The 23278-nt window shown below is 48.5% G+C and overlaps 1 protein-coding gene and 1 long non-coding RNA gene across 5 annotated transcripts, besides 1 other annotated feature; one reads left to right on the top strand and one right to left on the bottom strand.

The window, feature by feature from the left end:
• On the bottom strand, nucleotides 396–23167 carry ZNF473 (zinc finger protein 473). Of its 3 annotated transcripts, none has more exons than NM_015428.4 (5): nucleotides 23050–23167; nucleotides 18081–18280; nucleotides 9885–10011; nucleotides 7353–7442; nucleotides 396–4502 (listed from the first exon to the last, which is right to left on the bottom strand). In NM_015428.4, exons 2-5 carry the CDS (start codon nucleotides 18087–18089, stop codon nucleotides 2113–2115), a joined length of 2616 nt encoding a protein of 871 aa, NP_056243.1. In that variant the 5' UTR covers nucleotides 18090–18280; nucleotides 23050–23167; the 3' UTR covers nucleotides 396–2112. The 3 variants fall into 3 exon arrangements, with proteins under 3 accessions (NP_056243.1, NP_001006657.1, NP_001295353.1); NM_001006656.4 differs by having other exon boundaries at nucleotides 18081–18158; NM_001308424.3 differs by lacking the exon at nucleotides 18081–18280.
• ZNF473-AS1 (ZNF473 antisense RNA 1) lies at nucleotides 4483–8150 on the top strand. 2 transcript variants are annotated; one of them, XR_007067295.1, is made up of 2 exons: nucleotides 4483–4540; nucleotides 6298–8150. It is a non-coding gene; the product is annotated as a ZNF473 antisense RNA 1 (long non-coding RNA). The 2 variants fall into 2 exon arrangements; XR_007067294.1 differs by lacking the exon at nucleotides 4483–4540 and adding an exon at nucleotides 5959–5997.
• Nucleotides 23014–23063: an enhancer, noted in NCBI's record as "active region_14973". NCBI's record gives its function as "activates an Ori minimal core promoter by ATAC-STARR-seq in GM12878 lymphoblastoid cells {active_cell/tissue: GM12878}" and the evidence as "EXISTENCE:reporter gene assay evidence [ECO:0000049][PMID:35858748]".

Below are 23278 nucleotides of genomic sequence, written 5' to 3'. Positions count from 1 at the left end.
TAGTATCTCTTGTCACTTGTCACTAAAGGAAAAAGGTGGGGACAAAAATTAAAGTATAAACAAAGTTATATGTATTACTGGATGCTAATTAGAAACACTCCCCAAGCCTGGGGCCTGACATGTCTGTGAAGAGTGAACTGCAGGCTGCCTGTGCTCTCTCCTTGGTTACTTAGGCCCACACACAGACTGAAAAGTGTTGTTTGATGATGCATCTGAGGACCAGCTGAACTTGTGTGCCTCCTCAGTGGCGCATGCCCCGCCCAGACAGTGGGAAAACTGAGCTGCTCCCTCTTACTGATCGCCACCAGAAGCCCTCCCCAGCAAAGACGTGAGGCCTGGCAGGCAGGGACTGATGCGTGGCTGCATGGCAGCAGGCTGAGAGAAGGAACCAATGCTTTTAGACTCAAAACTTTAATCAGAGAACCAACAAATATGCACACACGGAGGGCGTTTCTACCTTGGCCTGCAGCAACACAGGTGACTGATTTACAGACTGCCCCCACACCCAATGGCTGCCAGTTTTCCATAGAGTCCCTATTGTGTCACAGCCCTGCAACACTTTGTACACTCTTTTGGTATACAACATGCCCATCTCCCCGACAAGACAGAGCTCCAGAGGACGGGAACCATGTGCGAGAAGTTAAATGTTGCAACCATTTGAAAAACAGTGTAAGGCCCCAATGGTTAGCCAACAGGTTCCCAGTTTCAACTAAGTTTAACAAACTTAACCAGCAGAACTCCAGGTGCAAGAGTTGAAAAGCCCAAGGGTGCAGAGCACTCACTCCCTCACCATTTTCAGCACCTAAAATATGAAAGGTATTCAAAGTATGTGTCCAGTGCTTTTCATAAGACTACTGTGTTTCAGCAAAGGTGTGACTGAGCCACTTAGTGGCAGGGAACAAACACCCAGAGCTGACAAGACACTGGTAGGGAACTGGTTGTGTGGTTCCATCTCACTGGACTCTCCAACAATCCTTGGTGATCCCAGAACTTCCTGTGACATGAGGGAATGTGGCATTTTCAAGATGTCACTTGTCAACTAACAGCAATCGTCGATGAAAATGGGTTCATTTCTGATTCCAGAAGCTTCAGAGCAGTAGTGCATAGTGTATGGATACTACCCGCCCCCGAGCCTAGCAAATTGCCTGGTGAGCGGCCATCCTGGATAAATGGTGAATGATGACATCCCAGTGGTCACTTCCACACACCACAGGTTTGACCCCTAAGTATGTCTTCCATATGGGTTGTTTCATATGCGGTTAACACCCTGATCAATGCAGCTTTCCTGATGGAATCCAGCTGTGTTTTGGTGTCAACTCCCATGAAAAATTGGGTGTCTTATTGCATAACCAACACTGTTAAATGGAGGAAGGTCATAGGAAGAGGGAGCATGTGTTTGTGGGATAGGGAGTCCTCTTTAAGTGAGAAGCTTGGGAGGTTAGGAGTGGAAGGTTGTAGCTAGTTGAGGTGAAGAGTTTACATGTTCTTTTTGGCTTTCTGGGGCTTAAGAAAAAAACCAGGAGAGATAAAGGGACAAAAAAGGCCAGGCACTTAAGAAGAGTAAAGTGCTGGAGAAAAACTGTAAAAAAGGAAAACTTAAATTAAAAGCGATACATTGTAAGAACATTAACTACAGTAAACACAGATTACTAATTCCTTTCTTGTAACACAAGTATATTTGTGCTATAGCTGATGTGTATTTGTGGCTTACACTTGGTGAGCCCTCATGTGCTGGCCATCAGTTCTAAGTGCTTCACATTTATTTATTTAATCCTCAGAAAAGCCCTCTGAGGTAGGTGATGCCCATTTTACAGATAAGGACACCGAGGCCCTGAGAGATTTTTCTGACCTTCCCAAGGTCACTTAGGTAGTAGATGGCAGAGGTGGGATTTAACTCAAGGTAGACTGGCTCCAGAGCCTACCTCTGAATCCTGACGTTGTACAGCTTCTCCACTTTTGTGTTTTCATTGTTATAATGAAAAACATGCGCACAAACTTTCTAATCAATCTTTAGATGCATTTATTTGGAGAGAAACTTGCAATGGGATAGTTTCCAACTTTCAACATCCGAGTAACGGTCTCATATTCTGGGACTCTGCTGCCACCCAATGGCTACAGGCAGTATTGCTGCTTGTTGTGTACACGCTGATGGCGGCTGAGGCTCGAGTGGCACCGAAAGGCTTTCTGGCAACGTTGACACTGATAAAGTGTCTCCTGGGTGTGAACTCTCAGGTGCTGGTTGAGATGGGCACTGAGGACAAAAGCTTTGCCACACACATTACAGGAGTAAGGCTTCTCCCCTGTGTGAATTCTCTGGTGCTGTGTTAGATTTGCTTTCTGGGCAAAGGCTTTCCCACATTCACCACATCTGTAGGGCTTCTCCCCAGTGTGAACTCTCCGGTGAATAGAAAGGCATGAGCTCTGGGTGAAGGCTTTCCCGCATTCCTGACAAACATAAGGCTTTTCTCCAGTGTGAATTCTCTGGTGGCGGACAAGCTCAGCACTCAGGCCGAAGGCCTTCCCGCAGTAATCACATACATAGGGCTTCTCACCTGAGTGAATTCTCTGATGCTTAGAAAGGCATGAGCTCTGACGGAACGTTTTCCCGCATTCGTTACACACCAACGGCTTCTTTCTGGCATGAGTTCGCTCATGCTGAACAAGGTAGTTTCTCTGGGTGAAGACTCTGTCACACTTACTACATTTAAAGGGATTCTCTCCAGCGTGAATTAACTGATGTTTTGAGAGGTGTGCACTGTGGCTGAAGGTCTTTCCGCATTCGTTACATTTAAAAGGGTGCTCCTTTGTGTGGAAGGACTGAAGTTTGATAAGGGAGGCACTGCTGATGGCTTTCCCTTGCTCACCCCATTTATACAGCCTCACTCTAGAGTGGATTCTTTGATGGTGAATGAGCCGAGTACTTTGGCCAAAGGCTTTCCCACACTGGTCACATTCAAAGGGCTTCACTCCCCTGGTGTGAATCCTCTCGTGCTGAGTTAGGTATTTGCTGCAGCTAAAGGTTTTCTCACATTTGTTACACTTAAAGCACTTCTCTTTCTGTTCTGGGTTCTGATCCAAGATCTTCCCACTCACAAAAAATCCTTGTTTTTCTCTGGCGTGAACACTCTCGTGGCACTTCAGGGTTGAGCCGCAAATGAAGCGTTCTCCGCACTCCTGACATTCATATGGGGTTTTGACAGTGTGCATTTTCTGGTGTTGCACAAGGCGATTGTTATCGCTGAAAGTCTCCTTGCATTCAGCACAGCTATAGGGCTTTTCTGCGGTGTGAATGGCCTGATGTCGCATCAGATGTGAGGGCCGGCTGAAACTCCTGACGCATTCCTGACATTTGTGGGGTCTGTAGCCTGTATGAATTCGCCGATGTTCATTAAGGTGAGTGTGCCGGTGGAAGGCCTTCCCACACTCACTGCATTTGTAAGGCTTCTCTCCACTGTGAACCCTCTGATGGATCTTTAGGGTAGAGTTATGCCTGAAGGATTTCCCACGTTCGTTACACTTATAAGGCTCCTCTCCAGCATGAAGAGCCTGGTGTTCAATGAGCAGCGAACTGTGCCTAAAAATCTTCCCACACTCCTGACACTCAGAGGTAGTTTTTGCAGCGTGAGTTTTCTGATGTTGGATGAGGTGTTTTCTCAAGTTGAAGGTCGCCTGGCACTTGGAACACTCATAGCGTTTCCGAGTGTGGATCTTCTGGTGCCGAGTAAGGTGGAAGATCCGGGTAAAAGCCTTGCCGCATTCGTTACAGTTGTAGGACTTACTATCTGTGTGAGTTTTCTGATGCTCACCAGGCTGTGTGTCATGACTGGGTGGGTGGTCACTATCTTGACTCTTACATGGTTTTTCTCCAGTGTGAGTTTTCTGATGCCACAGGTATGTACTCTGACTAAAAGTTGTCCCATATTCATTACACACATAGAATTTGTAGCCCGTGTGAGTTTTCGGATACACAGAAAGGGAAGCATTCCGGTCAAAACCTTGCTCACACTCTTGATGGACAGTGGGTTTCTCCCTAGTATGAGTGATCCAGTGCTGGGTAAGACGGTAACTCCCACTGAAGCTTTTCCCACATTCACTACATTGATATGGTTTCTCCCCTTCCTGAACAGAATCCTGCTGGCTGTGGTCGGAGTAGGAGAAAAACTCACCCCTATATTCCTTAGACTTAGCTGGTGTGAGGGTCTTTTCAGAAACATTATGCACCATGGAATCTTCTCCCGTGGAAACGGTGGACACAGGACTGAGTCCTCTCTTTAATTCATGACTCTTGCATTCCGTGGGACTTTCCCCGTTGGTGGCAATATCAGACCTCAGAAGACTTTCTGGATCGCCTAGCAAACTATCTAACCAGGTGTCCTCTATACAGGCTTCTCCGAAATTGGAGTTCCAGAAGCCATCCTTGGATAACATCTCTATAATCTCCTGGGAGAATCCTTCTTCGAAGAAATCCTCCATCAGAGGAGAGTTCTTGGTCTCAGTCACATCTGAAAGAGCAAGTGCAAATGTCTCCTGTTCACTAAGGGTGAGAACACAGACAAGAGCAAGTAGGGGTGATAGATCTTGAGTCCAGCCTATCCATCAAGGGACCCAAAGGGGTGACCCATGTGGAACTGGCATCACAGAAAACAGACAGAGCCCATTCCCAGGAGGGTCAAGAAGGGAGTTGGGAAACCATAGGGTTCAACGAGGAGGGAGATTCTACCATTACCTTCACACCTAAGTGACTGACCAAGTTCCCTAAAAAATCGCCTGGACTCACCTGCTTCTACTCTCCACTCTATCCTGTACTGTCACCAAAATCTTCCTCCTCATATCCTGCATCCTCTATCCCAGACAACACCCCGCTCTCCCCACACCACCATCCATCCAGTTCTCCATGCTAGAATCCTGGGAGTCAACCTCCTCCCTACCTCCCTCAACTTGGCACTATTTTCATTTGGTCTCTATCGAAATGTCTCAACTCCCTTCCTCTCCTCTCTTTATCACTGACTCAGCATCTGACCCCAGGCTGCTCATTGGTCTCCTGTTTGTCTGTCTCTCTCTCTCTCTAGTCTTCCACACTAGCCCTAAAGGGCTTTGTAGTTAATGGATCTGACTATATCACTCCTCTGATTAAACCCTTCCATGGCTTCCTGCCTGGAGAAAAGAAATGAGTGTATTAGCCCAGTGTTCTTTGTGCTGACCTCATAGAACTCTTGCGGTTCCCTAAATCCACCAGACTTTCTCCTCTGTGCCTTTAATGGTCCCTCATGCTGGATGGCACTTCCTGGACTAACTCCTCTAAGTCTTTTAATACCCAGCTTATCACCCTTCTCTGAAAGGCTTCCCTGACAACCCCATCCCCATTCTGCTTTAAGTCCCCTGCCCTGTATTCTCTGAAAACCAGCTGAGCACTGACCATCCTCTACCATAACAGGTTATGAAAGGGTCTGACCCCTGACCCTTACCAGAAGGTAAGTTCTTTAATGGGGACCTTCCACTGCTCATCCATCCACTGCCACAGAGGCGGCCACGAGAAAGATTCACAGGACAGAGTAATTCCCATTCATGGTATGCTTGTTCACAGGCAGGAGTGCCTCAGGCACTCTGTTACACTCGACAACCTCCTGTAAGGTAGGCACGTTTCTGCTTTCTTACAGGTAAGTGAGCAGAAGACTGAGGATTTGAACCCCTCTGACTATATATATATATATATATATATATATTTTTTTTTTTTTTTTTGGAGACTGAGTCTTGCCCTGTTGCCCAGGCTGAAGTGCTGCACGATCTCAGCTCAACGCAACCTCTGCCTCCTGGGTTCAAGTGATTCTCCTGCCTCAGCCTCCCGAGTAGCTGGGACTGCAGGTGCCCTCCACCACGCCCAGCTAATTTTTGTATTTTTAGTAGAGACAGAGTTTCAGCATGTTGGCCAGGCTGGTCTCGAACTCCTGACCTCAAGTGACCGGCCTGCCTCGCCCTCCCAAAGTGCTGGGATTACAGGTATGAGCCACCACGCCTGGCCCCCATATTCTTAACTACCAAGCTGTATGCTCTCTGGGATCCTTCACAAAACATGAATGTCACTGCTCTGCTGTATGCCTCCAGTCTCCCCATCTCTCCTCTCCTCCATCATCATACCTTTTCCAGCCTGTCCCTTGTGCAGTTCTTGGCTCACCATCTGAGTATCTATGAGACTGCTTAAAGTCTCTCTGCCTGGAATTAAAACTTGCAAATGAAAGCCTTCTGAAACCACATCTTGTTCTGAATTGTCACCTTTGCCTCTGCTCATCTCTCCCACAGATATCCAGCTCACTCTCCTCACCACACTTGTGCTCATGTTGTTCCCTCGGCCTCAAATGCACCAACAGACATGTAATAGGCACCCCTTATATGCCAAGCATGATGTCAGGAGCTGGGAATACAGGGTGAATCAGCTAAGCCCTGCTTCCAAGAGCGGCATGCTGTTAAAGGGGAAAGACGCTTATGTGGTAACTATGCAACTCAAGTGTCACTACTAGAGGATATGGAGGTATATTTGTTAGTAAAGGCATGGCTACCTATGTTTGGAAACAGCCAATATGCTGAGGTGACAGAAACAGAAAGCAGAAGTTGTGAGAGCCTGTGCATGAGTTAGTCACCTATGAGGAACACTGATGTGCTGAAGAGGAGGCTGCAGAGGCCTCATGTACACGAGCCTGAGCGTGGTGAGCCAAGAAGGGAGCTGCAGACTGACTGGATGGGGTACAGCCTGAGATTCCTGTGGTCTCTGGTTCAGGGCCCTGCTTCTCATGCTGGGGACGTCTCTACCATGGGTAATACCCCAGGAATCCTCACCACCTAACCTGATCCACCTGGAGGAACCCCGGCTTGGGAGATGGCAGGGCAGATGCTCTTGGCAGCATTCAGGCCTGGGCTTAAGTTACTCCCTGATGTGGCCATCTGCTATGCCCCAGGGATAGGAAGGAAAAATGGGCCTGAAGGAAAGGAGGTAAAAGAAGTAGAATGAGGGTCAACACACTCAGGGAGCACAAGGCAGGAAAGTAGAGAGACCAACTGAGAGAGTGGAGGGCGTACCCTTGTTGAGTCTGGAAGGAAAGAGGAGGAGCTGTGGAGAGGCACCAGGATAACCCTGTGCTGAAGGGCAAGGTAGAGAGACCCCAGAGTGAGGGTCTATAAAAATGTCCTGATCCCCCCAGCTCCCAGGACAAGGGGATGGAAGCCAGCGAGAAGCAGAGTGAAGTCCTGAAGCTGAGCGTTGTAATGTCTCGGTAGACCTGTGGGAAAGCTGGCTGCAGCCTCAGGATGGAGGTCTGGAAGACAGAAGGTACACAAGGGGCCCCTCTCCATCCACTCACCAGGGCTTGTTGCTTCTGGGCTTCCTCCTGCCAGAGGCTCCAGATCTTCACTGCCATCTGGGTGGGAGGTCAGGTTGGGTCTTGGGGGGTCTGCAGGGAGAGAAAAGCATTGTCACCCAACCAGGACATGGAGGACCATCCAGACACTCAGTGAGAACCTCCTGGCTCTCCTGACTTTTCTATGCTTTATCCTGCACGTGGCTCCTGTGTGTGGACGAGGTGCTGCACTGGGCGACTCTGGGGATGCCTGTCCTGTAGGGTTCCCAGTCCAGTGATGGAGAGGGAGCCAAACAATCACAATCCAGGGTGATCAAAGCTGTGACAGCTGGGGCTGGGGATACAAAGGACTTGTGACAGCTCTTTAATGGGCAGGATCTGCCAGGTGGAGAGGCACGTACTTCCTTAGCCATTCATGATTTATTCACTGACCCATGGGCCACACATTGCCTGAGGCCTCCATGGGCCAGGGACAGAAAATGTCAGGGTCCCAGAGCCCAAGCAGTCCTGAGCCATACCCTCCACAAGCTTCCCCAAGGAAGGGAACAGAGTCACCATCCAGGAGGGATACAGGCCACAGCGGAGAAAACGCCACTGCTGTCTTTGAAGACTGAGAAGCCATGAGTCAAGCAATACAGGTGACCTCCAGAAGCTGGCAACGGGCCAGGAAGGACTATCTACGTGCTGGAGCCTCCAGAAGGAACATGGTGGCCCTGCCAACACCTCGCCTCCAGCCCAGCCACATGCATTTGGAACTCCTGGCCTCCAGGACTGTAACATAATAAAAGTGTGCTGGTGGAAGCCACTGTGTTTGTGGTATGTGTAACAGCAGCAATAGGAAACGGATACACTACTCATACATTCACACAAATGGGTGAAGGGGCAGTCGAGGTAAACACACTTCTTACTGTGGGCTGTAGTTTAAAAATTCAAAAAGACACTGAGGTAGGACCTCCCACGAGATGCTTCTTAGCACACACTGGCCAGTCTGGAGAAAGTCTGCCCCAATGTGATGAGATTCTATCAAATGATAGTTTCCACCGTGTGTTATCTTTTACTTCTTTCATCTTTTGGAGTAAATTATTTTTCTGGTTCTTCAAAAAGAAAGAACTGAGGCAACAGAGAGGGAAAATGAGTTAATCAGGTGACACTGATGGGGAGCTGGGGTGATATGGCCTTGGAGCTGCACAGACCTTAGCTGGAGTCTGGGCCCTGCTGCTGTCTCACTGTGTGACACTGGTGTGCAGAAGAGGGCGACACAGCAGGCTGGCTGCTCTCCTGGGAAAAGCCTGCTGGCAAGGCTGGATTTCAGGGGGGTACCCCGTGTCTCCAGAACTGAAGAGACACGCTCCCTGGACCTAAACTGTGCAAACACGGTGGCTTACACCTGCTTTCCTTCTGGGGGGCTGGAATTTTGGAATGTGCCAGGCAGAGGAGCCCACATGACCAGCCCCCAGTAAAAACCCTGGCACTGAGTCTCTGATGAGCTTCCCTGGTGGACAGCATTTCACACGCGATATCACATTCTACAGTATTGCTGGGGGAATTAAGCATGTCCCATGTGACTCCCCTGAGAGAATTCTGGAAGCTTGTGCCTGGCTTCCTTGGACTTTGCCCCATGTACCTCCTCCCTTTGCTGACTGTGCTCTGAATCTTTTCACTGTAGTAAGTCATAGCCATGAGTCTGACTACAGGATGAGTCCTGGGAATCCTAGCCAATCACTGAATCTGTGGGTGCTCCTGGGGACACTGACACAGCTGGGAAGGTGACTGCCACTCTTTTAACCTCAGTTTCAGACCAATCGGCAAAAGAGGGACAACCCAGCTTCTTCATGGGGTGACTGGAGGATTGAACAAGCAAGTCCTAAGAGCTGCTACTCAATCATTCATTAGTTTAGAGCTGTCTGCTGGGCCCTAGAGCAGGTACTGTTCGTTCCAAACACTGGGGACACGCCCTGTCCTCACACAGCTCCCGCTCTGAATGATACAATGGTAGTTAGAACGTGAGGGAGCGACAGACAAGATGAGTAGGAGAGGAGGTATGGAGTTCTAACAGGGTCCCAGGTTAAACTTTAAAAATGTAAGCCCTGAGAGCCGCTTAGGCAGAGGGGAGGGCAACTGGAAGACTTTGAAGTATCAGCTTGAAGAATGACTGACTACAAGTAGGAAAGTGGTGAAGACAAGGCTGGGGAGGCAGATAGGGGCCAGAGCAGGGTTTCCCAGGCTTAGCACTACTGACACTGGCGTGGGCCAATCCTTGGTTGTGGGGCTGTGCTGTGCACTGTAGGATGTGTGGCAGCCTCCCTTGGTTCCACCAGCTAGATGCTAGCGGCACGCTGCGCTGGCCCAAGGAGTAACAATCAAAAATGTCTCCACACATTGCCAATGTCTCCTCGGCCAGCTGAGAACTGCTGGGCTAGGTCATGCTGATTCTGAGGAGCCCAGGAGCCAGGACTTCACCCTGTGGGTGGTAGAGAGCATGGGTGATCACCAAGCAGGGCAGTGAGTAGGCCCCTGGGGACAGGCAACACTCACCCAGCAGGAAGAGGTCCTGGCAATTGTCCAACGCTGTGTCCCAGAACGTGTCCCCCTGTTCCAGCCCGAGCTGCTCCCAGTCTCCCAAGGTGAAGTCCATGCCGACATCCTTGAGGGTCACAAATTCCTGAAACACAGTACACTATTGGTCACTCAGAGGCTGGGGTCAGGGAGGAGCCCAACAGCTCACTCAGGGCACTCCCAGCCCTCAATCTGCCAGGGCTTTGGCAAAAACCATCCCATCCTCAGCCTCACAAGAATCTTGAGATGTAAGAGACTGGAAACCCCTGTATTTTGTAGGCAAAGAAAAGGACCTTGACTTTGACCAGGGGACAGGATGTCAACCGAAGTTAACACAGGTGGGACTGAACCCAGGTCTGCCTGATCCTAAAAATCTATTTTACGCTTTTGCTTTAAGTGTTCATTCAAGACTTATTTTGTAAACTTTCAAACATACATACAAGTAGAGATGTATATAATTAACACCCATGAACTCATCACCCAGGGGTCATCTGATTTCACCTGTGAATACTTCAGTATGAACAGTAACTCCTTAATCACTGAACACCTAGACCACATTCAAAATCTGTATACAGATTAGTCTGACATCTCAGTGGTGTGTCTTTATAGCTAGCTCGTCTCAATCAGAATCCAGGGGGCCCATACCCTGTAACTGATGTGGTTCTGAGGTTTTGAAATCTACAGCTGTACCGCTGTGCCTTCTACATCCTCCATGCTCCTGATTTGAGGTCCCATGTTCTGAGTGTGGCAAGCTGCTTCCATGCAGTGTCACCTGGCTGCTCCCTGGCCACGCATTTCCTGTGAGCTGGTCAGGAGAGCAGAGGCCTGACTGGAGTCAATACAGCTTCTGGGGGAAAGACCCACTCACAGGTGGTACCAGGTCCGCTTTAGGTACCAGGTCCGCTTGGGTAACACATGGTTACCCAAGGCTCCTATCTGGTTGTCCAACTTTTAGTGATGCCATCTTTCATTTTAAGACTTTCCTAGTTAATAAGTGTTTATTATTATTTATGTGTGTGTGCATGTATATATTAAATTTTATTTTATATATAATTATATATATAATTTATAAATTTATAAATTTATAAAATTATAATTTATAATTTATATATGCACCTGTAGTCCCAGCTACTCAGGAGGCTGAGGTGAGAGTATCACAGGAGCCCAAGGAGGTCGAGGCTACAGTGAGCTGTGATCGCACCACTGCACTCCACCCTGGGGGACAGTGAGACCCTGTCTCAAAAAAAAAAAAAAAAATTTTCTACTATTTGGCTAGTCAGCGGTAGAGTTCGTATAGGACAGGTAGGGTAAATGCTTGACTCTCCTTTTATTTGCCAGTTTTCACTATAAGGAATTGGTTTCCTTCTGTCGTTTGTAAGTTATGGTAATTTATAAATCTGGTAATCCATAAATTATATATATTATATATACAGAGAGAGAGAGCGAGCGAGAGAGAGAGAGAGTGTCTCACTCTGTTGCCCAGGCTGGAGTGCAGTGCCACGATCATAGCCTCCACCTCCTGGGCTCAAGCAATCCTCCTGCCTCAGCTTCCAAGTAGCTAGGACTACAGGCTTGTGCCACCAGACCCAGCTAATTTTTTTTTTTTTTGGTAGAGTAGGAGTCTTGCCATGTTGCCCAGGCTGGTCTCGAACTCTTGGCCTCAAGTGATTCTCCTGCCCCTGCCTCCTGAAGTGTTGGGATTACAGGCATGAGCCACTGTACCTGGACAGTTAATGGATGTTTAGGATAAAAATTCAAATACTTGAGAAGTACCAACATTAAAACGTGAAAGCCTGCCCCCACACACCCCATCTCTAGGTGAAACCATGACTGATGTGTCTCTTCCAAATCTCCATCAGTGTGGGCACAGGCACATTTTAAGAAAGAATGAAAACCACCTCTCTTTAGTTTGGGTCTGAGGTATGGCCCTATTACCTTCCCTTTATGAGTGACTATTGGCAAGTAAGCTGCATGTCTCTTGTGACCCCAATTCCTGCTCCCCTAGTGAAATGGGACCAACGAGTCCCATCTCATCAGGGCTGCTACAAGAAGCAACTGAAATACTGCTGGGAGGTGACTGCATAGTACTTAGCACACAGGAAGAGCTCGACAAAGGGGCAATTCCACTCTGGCTTACACTGCCCATCCCAACCCTCCAGGCATCTGACTGCAAAAGCCCTTCTTTGGCCAACAGCTTTCTGCATGCCGGCAATGGTTCAATGCTTTAGGTGCAGTGAGTCACTGAACTGCCTGACTCCTCTTTGAGGCAGGATTATCCCCAACTTATAGAAAACAAAATCAAGGCCCAAATAGTCACTTTCTCCAAGTTACACAGTGTATTAGTCCATCTTCTGTTGCTATAACTGGGTAATTTATAAAGAAAAGAAATTTGTTTCCTATAGTTCTCGAGGCTGGGAAGTCCAAGGCCAACAGACTGCCTCTGGTGAGGGTCGTCCTGCTGGTGGAGACTCTACAGAGCCCTAAAATGGCACAACGCATAACATGGTGAGGGAACTGAAGCAATGTCAAGCTGGCTTTTACAACAGACCCACTCTCATGATAACCCATTATTCCATGAATAAATGAATTCACTCACACAGGCAGAGCCTTCATGACCTAATCATCTCTTAAAGGCCCCACCTTGGCCGGGCGCAGTGGCTCAAACCTGTAATCCCAGCACTTTGGGAGGCCAAGGCAGGCGGATCATGAGGTCAGGAGATCGACACCATCCTGGCTAACACAGTGAAACCCCGCCTCTACTAAAAATGCAAAAAAAAAAAAAAAAATTAGCTGGGCATGGTGGCGGGCACCTGTAGTCCCAGCTACTCGGGAGGCTGAGGCAGGAGAATGGCATGAACCTGGGAAGCAGAGCTTGCAGTGAGCCAGGATTGCGCCACTGCACTCCAGCCTGGGTGACAGAGTGAGACTCCATCTCAAAAAAAAAAAAAAAAAGGCCCCACCTCTTAATACAGCTACATTAGGGATTAAATTTCAAGGAGTTTCGATTGGTGGGGCATGGTGGCTCATGCCTGTAATTCCAGCACTTTGAGAGGCTGAGGCGGGCAGACTGCTTGAGCTCAGGAGTTTGAGATGAGCCTGGGCAACATGGTAAAACCCCCATCTCTACCAAAAACACAAAAAGATTAGCTGGGCGTGGTAGTGCACACCTGTAGTCCCAGCTACTCGGGAGGCTGAGGTAGGAGGATCACTTGAGCCCAGGAGATGGAGGTTCCACAAGCCAAGATCACACCACTGCACTCCAGCCTAGAAAACAGAGTCTCCCTCTCAAAAAAAAAAGAGTTTCAAAGGGGACAAACATTCCAACCACAGCACACGGTGAGTAGGTGGTGGGGTGGCACGAGCTCCCATCTGCTACACAATCCCCAGGAGGCTGACCTGTTAGAGGCTCAGCTTTAGAGTCAGACAGGTCCCAGTTCAAATTCTAGTTCTACTATCTATTAACTGTGGGACCTTGTTAGTCCACCTCTCTAATGCTCAGCCTGCCTCTTCTCTAAAATAAGGCTGCTATAGGATGAAGTGAGCTGATGCCTACACAGGGCTCAGCAGAGACCCAACTCACTAAGAAGCTGCTAAATAAGTGGTGCTTGTTGTCTACTTATCTGTCCAATGATGACCAAGCACCTACTACGAGCCAGCCCCTGTGCTAGGTACAGGAAAAAAGGGGGCAGCCAGTTCCTGTCCTTATGAGATTTAACCTGGGTGTGTTACATTGAATTACAATGAAAATGCTTTGTAAAACTCTTAAGAACAGCCAAACACACACACACACACACACACACACACACACACACACGTATGAAAGAACTGGTCACCTCTGAAGGATGACATGACAGAAGGAAACCAATTCCTTATAGTGAAAACTAGCAAATAAAAGGAGAGTCAAGCATTTACCCTACCTGTCCTATATGAACTCTACCGTCGACTAGACAAATAGTAGATAAATTTTTTTTTTTTTGAGATAGGGTCTCACTGTCACCCAGGCTGGAGTGCAGTGGTGCTATCACAGCTCACTGTAGCCTCAACCTTCTTGGGCTCCTGTGATACTCTCACCTCAGCCTCCTGAGTAGCTGGGACTACAGGTGCACACCACCACACCTGGCTAATTTTTAAATTTTTTGTAGAGATGGGGTTTCACCACGTTGCCCAGGCTGATCTTGAACTCCTGAGCTCAAGCAATTTGCCCACCTCAGCCTTCCAAAGTTCTGGGATTACAGGCATGAGCCACCATGCCCAGCCAAAGGATGTCTTGTAAAGTGTTCCAACTAATACATGAAAAGAAATGATAGCGCCATTTTGCAAGCCCTGATGAATGAACAGGTGATAAGGCAGAAAGCATCACTATCTGCCAGGACCACAAACAGGGGGCACAAGAGATTCTTGGTAAAAGGATTGACCATGAGTCTAATCAAGCCTCTGGACCTAGCTGCCAACTGGGAATAAACTCAACTGCACCACAAGGATGGAACCAGAGAAAACAGACTGAGGAATTCTACAGGTCGAACCATGCCAGTTCCTCAAAGGACCGAATAACTGTTCTCTAACTAACAGCTGAGAACAGAAGGGGATGGAGGAGGAACCCAAAGATTAAGAGACACAGAAGACATTAAAAAACAAGAAGGGGCAAGGGATTGTGCATTTGAGTAATAAAGCAAGTGGTAATCATAAAAATCAGGTTACTTATTGGGGATGCGAGAGGGCTATGACAGAGCCCACGAAGGACTTCTGGGGTGGATGGCAAAAAAAATTCTCACTCTTGATCTAGGTGGCGTTCGCCTTCATTAGGTCATGCATTTGATGTGTGTGCATTTCTGCACCTGTGATTTTACAATAAAAAAACTTTTTTAAATTAGGCATATACTAAACAGCATCCTCCTCTTGCTGCTTCGTGGGAAAAGACAGAAGGTGAGAAGGGCAGAAGCAGGGAGTCAAAGGAAAAAGGCCAGTTTGATAATCCAGGTGAGAAATGGTGGCAGCAATGGAGGGGGTGAGAAGTGGTGAGATTCCAGATATTCAGATAACGGTGCTGACAAGGTTTCCTGACGAATAACATGGAGGGTGTGAAAGACAGAAGACCCTGGGATGGCTCTACGTTTTTAGCCTGAACAGCTGGAAGGACAAAGTTGCCACTTACTGAGACATAGGAGAAGCAGCTTTCAGGACAGAGTCTGAGTTTGGTTTGGGACATGTAAAGTTTGAGATATCCTGTAGATTGTCATGGCCGAATAATGCCGCCACCCCACACAAAGATGTCCCTGTCTTAATTCCCAGAACCCATGAATATTATCTTACATGGCGAAAGGGACTTTGCAGCTGTGATTAAGAATCTGGAAATGGGGAGATTATCCTAGATTATCTGGGTTGGTCCTAAATGTCATCACAAGGATCCTAATAAGAGGGAGACAAGGAATCACAGGAGAAAAGAGGTGATGCCATGACAGAAGCAGAGATTAGAGTGATGCGGCCAGGAGCCAATGAATATAGGCAGCCTCCAGAAGCTGGGAGAGGCAAGGACTGAATTCTTCCCTAGGGCCTCCAGAAGGAACGCACCCTGCTGACACCTTGGTTTGAGCCCCGTGAGATCATTTTGGGATTCAGACCTGAAGAACTGTAAAAGAATAAATTTGTGTTGTTTTTAAGCCCACAAGTTTGTATTATTTGTTACAGCAGCAGTAAGACCCTGAAACAGTCGTCCCAGTGGTGATGCTAAGCAGGAATTGGGTGGACGAGCAAGGGGGATCCTGTTTCCGCTTACAACAAATCCTGTCCCTCCTCTGCTCCAAACCCTCCAACGGCCTCCGGATTCACCATATTTAAAGACAGAGACCATACAATGATCTCCAGGGCCCTAAAGATCTGGCCCCAGCTGCCACTCAGGGCTCACCTTCTCCCCCTTTCCTGCTCATCCACTCTGCTCCAGCCACACCAGCTTCCTTGCAGCTCCCTGAACACACCTGCCAGACCCCATCTTAGAGCCAAGATTGTGTCCCTCAGTTCTCTGCTGAAATGCCTCTTCTCCATGAAGCCTTCTCCCACCCCTCTGTATAAAACAGCAAATCTACCCTGGGCCTCCCTATCCCTTTCCTCCATAATCCTTAATACTGCCTGCATTCTATGGGATTTACTTAATGCATTTTACTGTGTGGTATGGGTTGAACTGTAACCCTCTAAAAAGATACAATGAAGTTCTAACCCCCAGTACCTCAGAATTTGCCCTTATTTGGAAATGGGGTCTTTACAGAGGTGATCAAGCTGAGATGAGGTCATCAGGGTGGGTCCTAATCCAAAACGACTGAAGTTGTTATAAAAAGGAGAAATGGGGACACAAAGACAAACACAGGCTGAGGGAAGACAATGTGAAGATACAGGGAGGACATCCTGTGAAGATGAAGGCAGAGATTGAGGTGATGCCTCTCCAGGCCGAGGAACACCAAAGCTGGCCACCATCTGCCAGAACACAGGGGAGAGGCCTGGCTCACAGCCTCAGAAGGATCCAGCCCTGCCAACACCCTGATCTTAGACTTCTGGCCTCCAAGACTGGGAGACCACCAATTTCTGTTGTTTTCAGCCACCCAGTGTGTGGTACTTTGTTACAGCAGCCCTAGCAAGCTCATACACTGTCACCCGCAATAAAGTAAGCTTCATGAGGGCAGGAACCACCTAAACCGTTTCCCTAGTCCAGACTTACAACAAAGCCCACTCATGACAGGCACAGAGTAAATACTTGTTGAATGAGGCAAAGCAGCACATGGTCCTGATAGCTGTTTTGGGACAAGGGAAGGAGCTCATGAAGGATGGAACCCATACTAAGTGAGGTTCAAGATGGGGACAATAAACTGAGTCCCAGTCACACCTGCAGATCATGACAGCCCTACCTCTGGACTTTTGGTTATATAATTAATAGTCTCCTGACTGCGTAAGTCAATTTCTGGTACTTATAACAGAAACTGTTGCTGTCTATATCCTGTCAAGAGTAGCAGCCAAGCAGGAGCCAGATCAAAGAGGACCTTTGAGGGGCTTCCTTTCCTCACACTCCCAGACTGCGCTGGACAAGGCCCCTGTCACAGTGATGAAGGAGGTGGGAAGACGGGGCAGACTAGATCCTTGAGGCACTGGGGAGCCACAGGAAAGTGACAAGGTCAGAGCACATATTTGGCAATCATTTACCCTGTGTGCTAGACCACATTGTGGGCACTGGGGACATGGACGTGTGTCAGACCTGTTTCCTGGCCTCATGGAGCTCATGGTCTGACGGAGAGACACGAGGGAGGTAGGACTGTGGCAAAGGGAGGTATCGGGGACTGTGTGGGCCAAGGGGGAGAGGGAGGCCATTGCCTTGAGGTCAGGGAAAGCTTCCTGGAGGGAAGGTCATTCAAGTTGGATCACTAAGGATGAACAGATATTTACCAGATAGAGAGATGGTTTCATGCATCATTCATTGATTCATTCATTCATTCAACTAACACCTCATGAGGCTTCCTGTGTTCCTGGCCTGTGCTGGGCCCTGGGGACCCAGAGATGAATCCCCATCAGTTCCTGTCCCCAAGGAGCATCTAGTCTGGTGGGGCTGACAGATATGGGCAGGAACATCCATATCTAGGTGGATCTGTGCTACAGTGGAGGCAGCAGGGGGTACTATGGAAGGCTAGAGCAGGAAAGTGCTGACTGCCTAGGGAAGGGTGGGGGAACTGAGCCGGGTCTTAAAGGCTGTGTGAGACACTACCACATGGAAAAGGGGCAGGGAATTCCAGCAGAGGGCCCAACCTGAGCAAAGGAAGCTGCTGGAAAGTACAGAATCAACTTTTACTACTAGGCCAAAGGGAGTATTTGTTATCTAGAGAAATGACAGAAGATGGTGCAAAGAGGGTAGAAGCCAGAACACACAGGAAGGCTGAAAAACCTGGAATTTATTCTATAAGCAATAGGGGTTCCCAGAAGAGTACAAACAGGAAAGAACAGCATGCGAGCTTTCCTTTAAAAAAGATCGCCTGGGAGCCACCATGGGACAGGGAGGCCAAAACAAAGGAAGGCCAGCTTTCCTGCCATGGGGGTGACCAATCAACACAGAGCGACCTTCAACTCGCCTCGGCCACAAAGGAAGGCCAATTTTTCTGCCTTTGGGTGTGACCGATTAGGACAGAGCGACCTTCAACTCACCTCAGCCATGGCCAACTGGGGTTCAGTAGCCTCTTTTAAGCTCCTCCTCCTTCCCCTCCGTGTTCCCGGCTGGCAGGGCTGTGGGAAGCACAAGGGAGCTGTGAGAAAGCCTCCCTTCCACCCATGGCTGACTCGCTGTCCATGCTGACGAGCCCCCAAAATGTCCAGGAGGAGGAGGACAAGTCCCAATGTGAGTCTCCCTGCAGGGGACAACAACAACTATATTTACTGAAGCCACCTCAGCCCCACATTTGCACTGTGCTTCAGAACCTACAGAACAGCTTCGCCACCAACAATGGTGGGTTAGCACCTAACAGTCAGTCAGCACATGTTTAGGAGATTTGGTGATGAAAGTCTATGGCCACAGTGGGAGCTTCTGTCTTGCTCACTGCTGTGTCTTAGCACCAGCATGGTGCCTAGTACGCAGTAGGTGCTTTAACAGTAGGTGTAAAAGTACCTACAGTTGTTGACAGAACGAAGGTGTCTAAAGAACCAATGGAACAATGCTTCTGGGATTTCTGATTATCATCTCTGGAATTTGAGTTCAGGTAAATTGGCCTCCGAAACTGTTACTCTTTTTTGGAGACACGGTCTTGCTCTGTTGCCAGGCTGGAGTACTACAGTGGCACAATCATGGGCCACTGCAGCTGTAATTTCCTGGGCTTAAGCAATCCTCCAACCTCAGCCTCTCAAGCAGCTGGGACTACAAGCATGTGCCACCACATCCAGCTAATCTTTTTCACTTTTTGTAGGGACAGGATCTCACTTGTTGCCCAAGTTGTTCTCAAACTCCTGACCTCAAGTAAGCCGCCCTCGTGGGCCACCCAAAGTGCTGGGATTACAGTTGTGAGCCACCGCACCTGGCCACTATCTCTACAACAGAAATATTTCAACTTTTGTTTTAACCGTGACCCACAGTAACACCACCAATATGTAGAATAGGCCAGGCACAGTAGCTCACGCCTGTAATCTCAGTACTTTGGGAGGCCGAGGTGGGCAGATTACTTGAGGTCAGGAGTTCAAGACCAGCCTGGCCAATATGCTGAAACCCCGTCTGTACTAAGAATACAAAAATTAGCTGGGCTTGGTGGGACGTGCCTGTGATCCCAGCTACTCGGAAGGCTGAGGCAAAGAATCACTTGAACCCGGGAGGCAGAGGCTGCAGTGAACCGAGATGGTGCCACCGCACTCCAGCCTGGGCAACACAGTGAGACTCCATCTCAAAAAAGAAAAAAAAAAAGTATCATGACTACTCAAACACACAGTGTAACTAAACAAAAGCTTCATGAAGCAATACTTACCCTGCAATGTAAGATGCACTGGGATGTTTTCTATTCTAGTCTCTTTTATTCTACTTCATTAAAAAATCATAGTCACTGCCCACCTAGTTATTTTCATGACCCATAATACGCAAAACTGTACCACAGACATTTTTACCCATTTGTATCCACTGCGTGGACCAAGTAGCACATATCTGCGGAGTGCTGAAAGCATTTCATATCACAAAGCAGCACGGATCACTTAACAATGACACAGGTCCACAAATTCTTCAAACTCCAAGGCCAGATGTGCTTTGAAATTCAACTTTTATTTTCAAAAGGTGATATGGCATATACATGGCATATTTCATTAAAATCCCAGTGCAGGGCTGGCCGCAGTGGCTCATGCCTGTAATCCCAGCACTTTGGGAGGCCAAGGCAGGCGGATCACGAGGTCAGGAGATCCAGACCATCCTGGCTAACGCGGTGAAACCCCGTCTCTACTAAAAATACAATAACAAAATTAGCCAGGCATGGTGGTGGGCGCCTGTAGTCCCAGTTACTCAGGAGGCTGAGGCGAGAGAATGGTGTGAACCCGGGAGGTGGAGCTTGCAGTGAGCCGAGATGGCGCCATGCACTCCAGCCTGGGCGACAGAGCGAGACTCCGTCTCAAAAACAAAAACAAAAACAAAACAAAACAAAGTCCCAGCGCAGTGTGGATCAGGCTGCATTTCATAATTGAACACTTTACCCTAGAGAAAAGTATCATCGTTCATTCTAGGTAGAATAATTTAAAGTTATATTTAAAAAATACCCTGTAGTAGTTCAGGTAAGGCACGGACACTAAATTTATGAAAAAAAATTTGTTGTTCTGAGTTGTCCAGATTTTTGAGACTACAAATATGGGAATATGGTAGACCTACAATAAATGCTAATTCTACTGAACAATGAGTTTTTCTACATGTCAGAGGTTAAGCCTCAACCTACGAGTATAACTCAGTTGACAGATATTTGGCCCATAATGTTTGTTGGCAGACAGAATGTTTTGAAAGAAAATTCAAGCATGGCTCACTAGTCTCAAACTTGAAAATTGGGAAATTTCACCTAAAAATTATGTTTCCAACTTCTGAAACATCCTAGGATTTGGCAACATTGGGTCTACATCCCACGAAGTTAGTTCACTGGTGCCCATTTAAAGCTCCCCCACCAGTGCTAGGCAAGTGGGGGATGCTTATAATCCCAGCACTTTGGGAGGCTGAAAGGTGTTCGAGACCAGCCTGGGCAACGTAACAAGACCTTGTTTCTAAAAAAAAAAAATTAAAAATGAGCAAGTTGTGGTGGCACGTGCCTGTAGTCCCAACTACTTGGGAGACTGAGGTAGGAGGATCGCTTGGGAGGCTGAGGTAGGAGGATCACTTGAGCCCAGGAGTTCAAGGCTGCAGTGAGCTATGATTGTGTCACTGTACTCCAGCCTGAATGACAGAGAAAGATCCTGCCTCCAAAAAAAAATTAAATTTGTTTTTTTTTTTTTTTTTGAGACGGAGTCTCGTTCTGTCGCCCAGGCTGGAGTGCAGTGGCGCGATCTCAGCTCGCTGCAAGCTCTGCCTCCCGGGCTCATGCCATTCTCCTGCCTCAGCCTCCTGAGTAGCTGGGACTACAAGCGCCTGCCACCACGCCCGGAGAATTTTTTGTATTTTTAGTAGAGACGGAGTTTCACCGTGTTAGCCAGGATGGTCTCGATCTCCTGACCTCGTGATCCACCCACCTCGGCCTTCCAAAGTGCTGGGATTACAGGCATGAGCCACCACACCCGGCCAAAAAAATTAAATTTAAGTTTAAAAAGCGGCTGGGTGCAGTGGCTCATGCCTGCCATCCCAGCACTTTGGGAGGCCAAGGCAGGCGGATCACCTGAAGTTTGGAGTCCAAGACCAGCCTGATCAACATGGTGAAACCCCCGTATCTACCAAAAATACAGAAATTAGCCAGGCATGGTGGTGCACGCCTGTAATTCCAGCTGCTTGGGAGGCTGAGGCAGGAGAATCGCTTCAACCGGGGAGGTGGAGGTTCCAGTGAGACCGAACTCCAGCCTGGGTGACAGAGCGAGACTCTGTCATCAAAAAAAAAACACAATTCTCCCCTTCAGATGAGGCAAGTGCTCCCCAAGGCCCCGCAGCCTCACCTGGACCAGTTCTCTTCTTTCCTGTATGTCATCTGCCTGGCCCTCACAGACAGCTGAGCTTGAGATCCCTGTCTGCAGTTACCAAATCACATTCTGCCCACATCTCATATACTCTCAGCTCTGGGAGGAAAGAAACGAGGGCCCAGAGGTGGAGCCCAAGGTCATCCAGCCCAGAGTGACTTAAGCCAAACAATTATCAGGCTGAGAGACCTTGGGCCCAAGAGTCTTGCCCTTCCTTCCAGACCATTTACCTTCTCTAAGCCTTAGTTTCCACATGTACCAAATGGAACAAATACAACAGATCTATGGTCCTTTAAATGCTCCAAAAACCAGAACTTGATTTATAAACTGACCGCAAAACTTCACCTGGATTGCCACAGGCCATGTAGGGTCTTAATGTTCTCATAAGTGTGAATATTCACACCTTGCCCCACAGAAACATTTTATGACCAAAAACTGGCCCAGATTCCTCGGGGTGTGGGGGGGTGCTGCCTAATTATAAAATATGCACCCTATTAGCTTTCTAAAATCTGAAAAATTCTGATTCCCGAGATTGCCTTGGTGCCAAGGGGACCTGCACTTATGTCTCAGTGCTGCTGCGGGGATCAGAAGAGGAAATGCAACTCCAGCAGGGCGCCTGGCACACAGAAAGCACTCAAATACTGTAAATGTTAAGTACTTCAACTTCCCGAAGAACTCCCATCCATCGTCCAGCAAGATTCTGCCTAAATTTGCCAACTTCAGGTAACTCATTCCCCTCCTTCCCCAACCAAAACCAAAATAAAACAGAACCACTCCTCTCAGGGCCATCAGGGAGGCCTGGAAACCCCTTTAGCAGTTTTCTTTTCTTTTCTTTTCTTTCTCAGCTCACTGCAACCTCTGCCTCCTGGGTTCAAGCAATCCTCCCACCTCGGCCTCCCAATTAGCTAGGAATACAGGGGCGCACCACCACGCCCGGCTAATTTTTCTATTTTTTTCTTCTTTTGTGGAGACAGGGCTTCACCATCTGGCCCAGGCTAGCCTCGAAATCCTGGGCTCAAGCGATCCGCCCACCTCAGCCTCCCAAGGTGGTTTTCTTCCTTTCTTTTTTTTTTTTTTTTTTTAAGATGTAGTCTCGCTCTGTCACCCAGGCTGGAGTGCAATGGCGCGATCTCGGCTCACTGCAACCTCCAGCTCCTGGGTTCAAGCGATTCTCCTGCCTCAGCCTCCTGAGTAGCTGGGATTACAGGCCCCCGCCACCACGCTCAACTAATTTTTGTATTTTTAGTAGAGACTGGGGGTTCGAGGAACTCCTGGCTGTAAGTGATCCCCCCCGCCAAGGCTTCCCAAAGTGCTGGGATTACAGGCGTGATCTACCGTGCCCAGACCTTGAGCGGTTTTCATAACAGACTGTGAAAGACGGTTCACACCTTCACCCTGACAACCGCCGCCCAAGGCGACGCACCCTTTGCCGAAGTCGCCCCCACTTGCATTCCGTCACCTCTCAGGAAGGACCGAGCCCGCAAGTCCCTCAGCCCCAGCGTCTCCGTACCTCGGGATTGTAGTCGGCCGCGTCAACAGACGCAACCCCAGCCTCAAGGGAGCGGGAGATTCAACTCCCCGCACACGCGCCTCCTCGCAGCGACTTCCTGTGCGCGAGAAGCTTCTCTGAGCGGCTGCACCCAGGATCCTCCGCGGCAGCGCCAGGACTCTATTTCCCAGAGGGCTGTGCGGGCGACTTCTTTCGCCTTCCCATCTCCTCCTGCTTCTTCAGCCTTAGC

Source organism: Homo sapiens, chromosome 19 (genome assembly GCF_000001405.40).
Source record: "Homo sapiens chromosome 19, GRCh38.p14 Primary Assembly".
In the NCBI taxonomy this organism is placed as follows: Eukaryota; Metazoa; Chordata; class Mammalia; order Primates; family Hominidae; genus Homo; species Homo sapiens.
The sequence above is the reverse complement of the archived record's forward strand: the minus strand, read 5'-3'. Positions and strand labels throughout refer to the sequence as shown.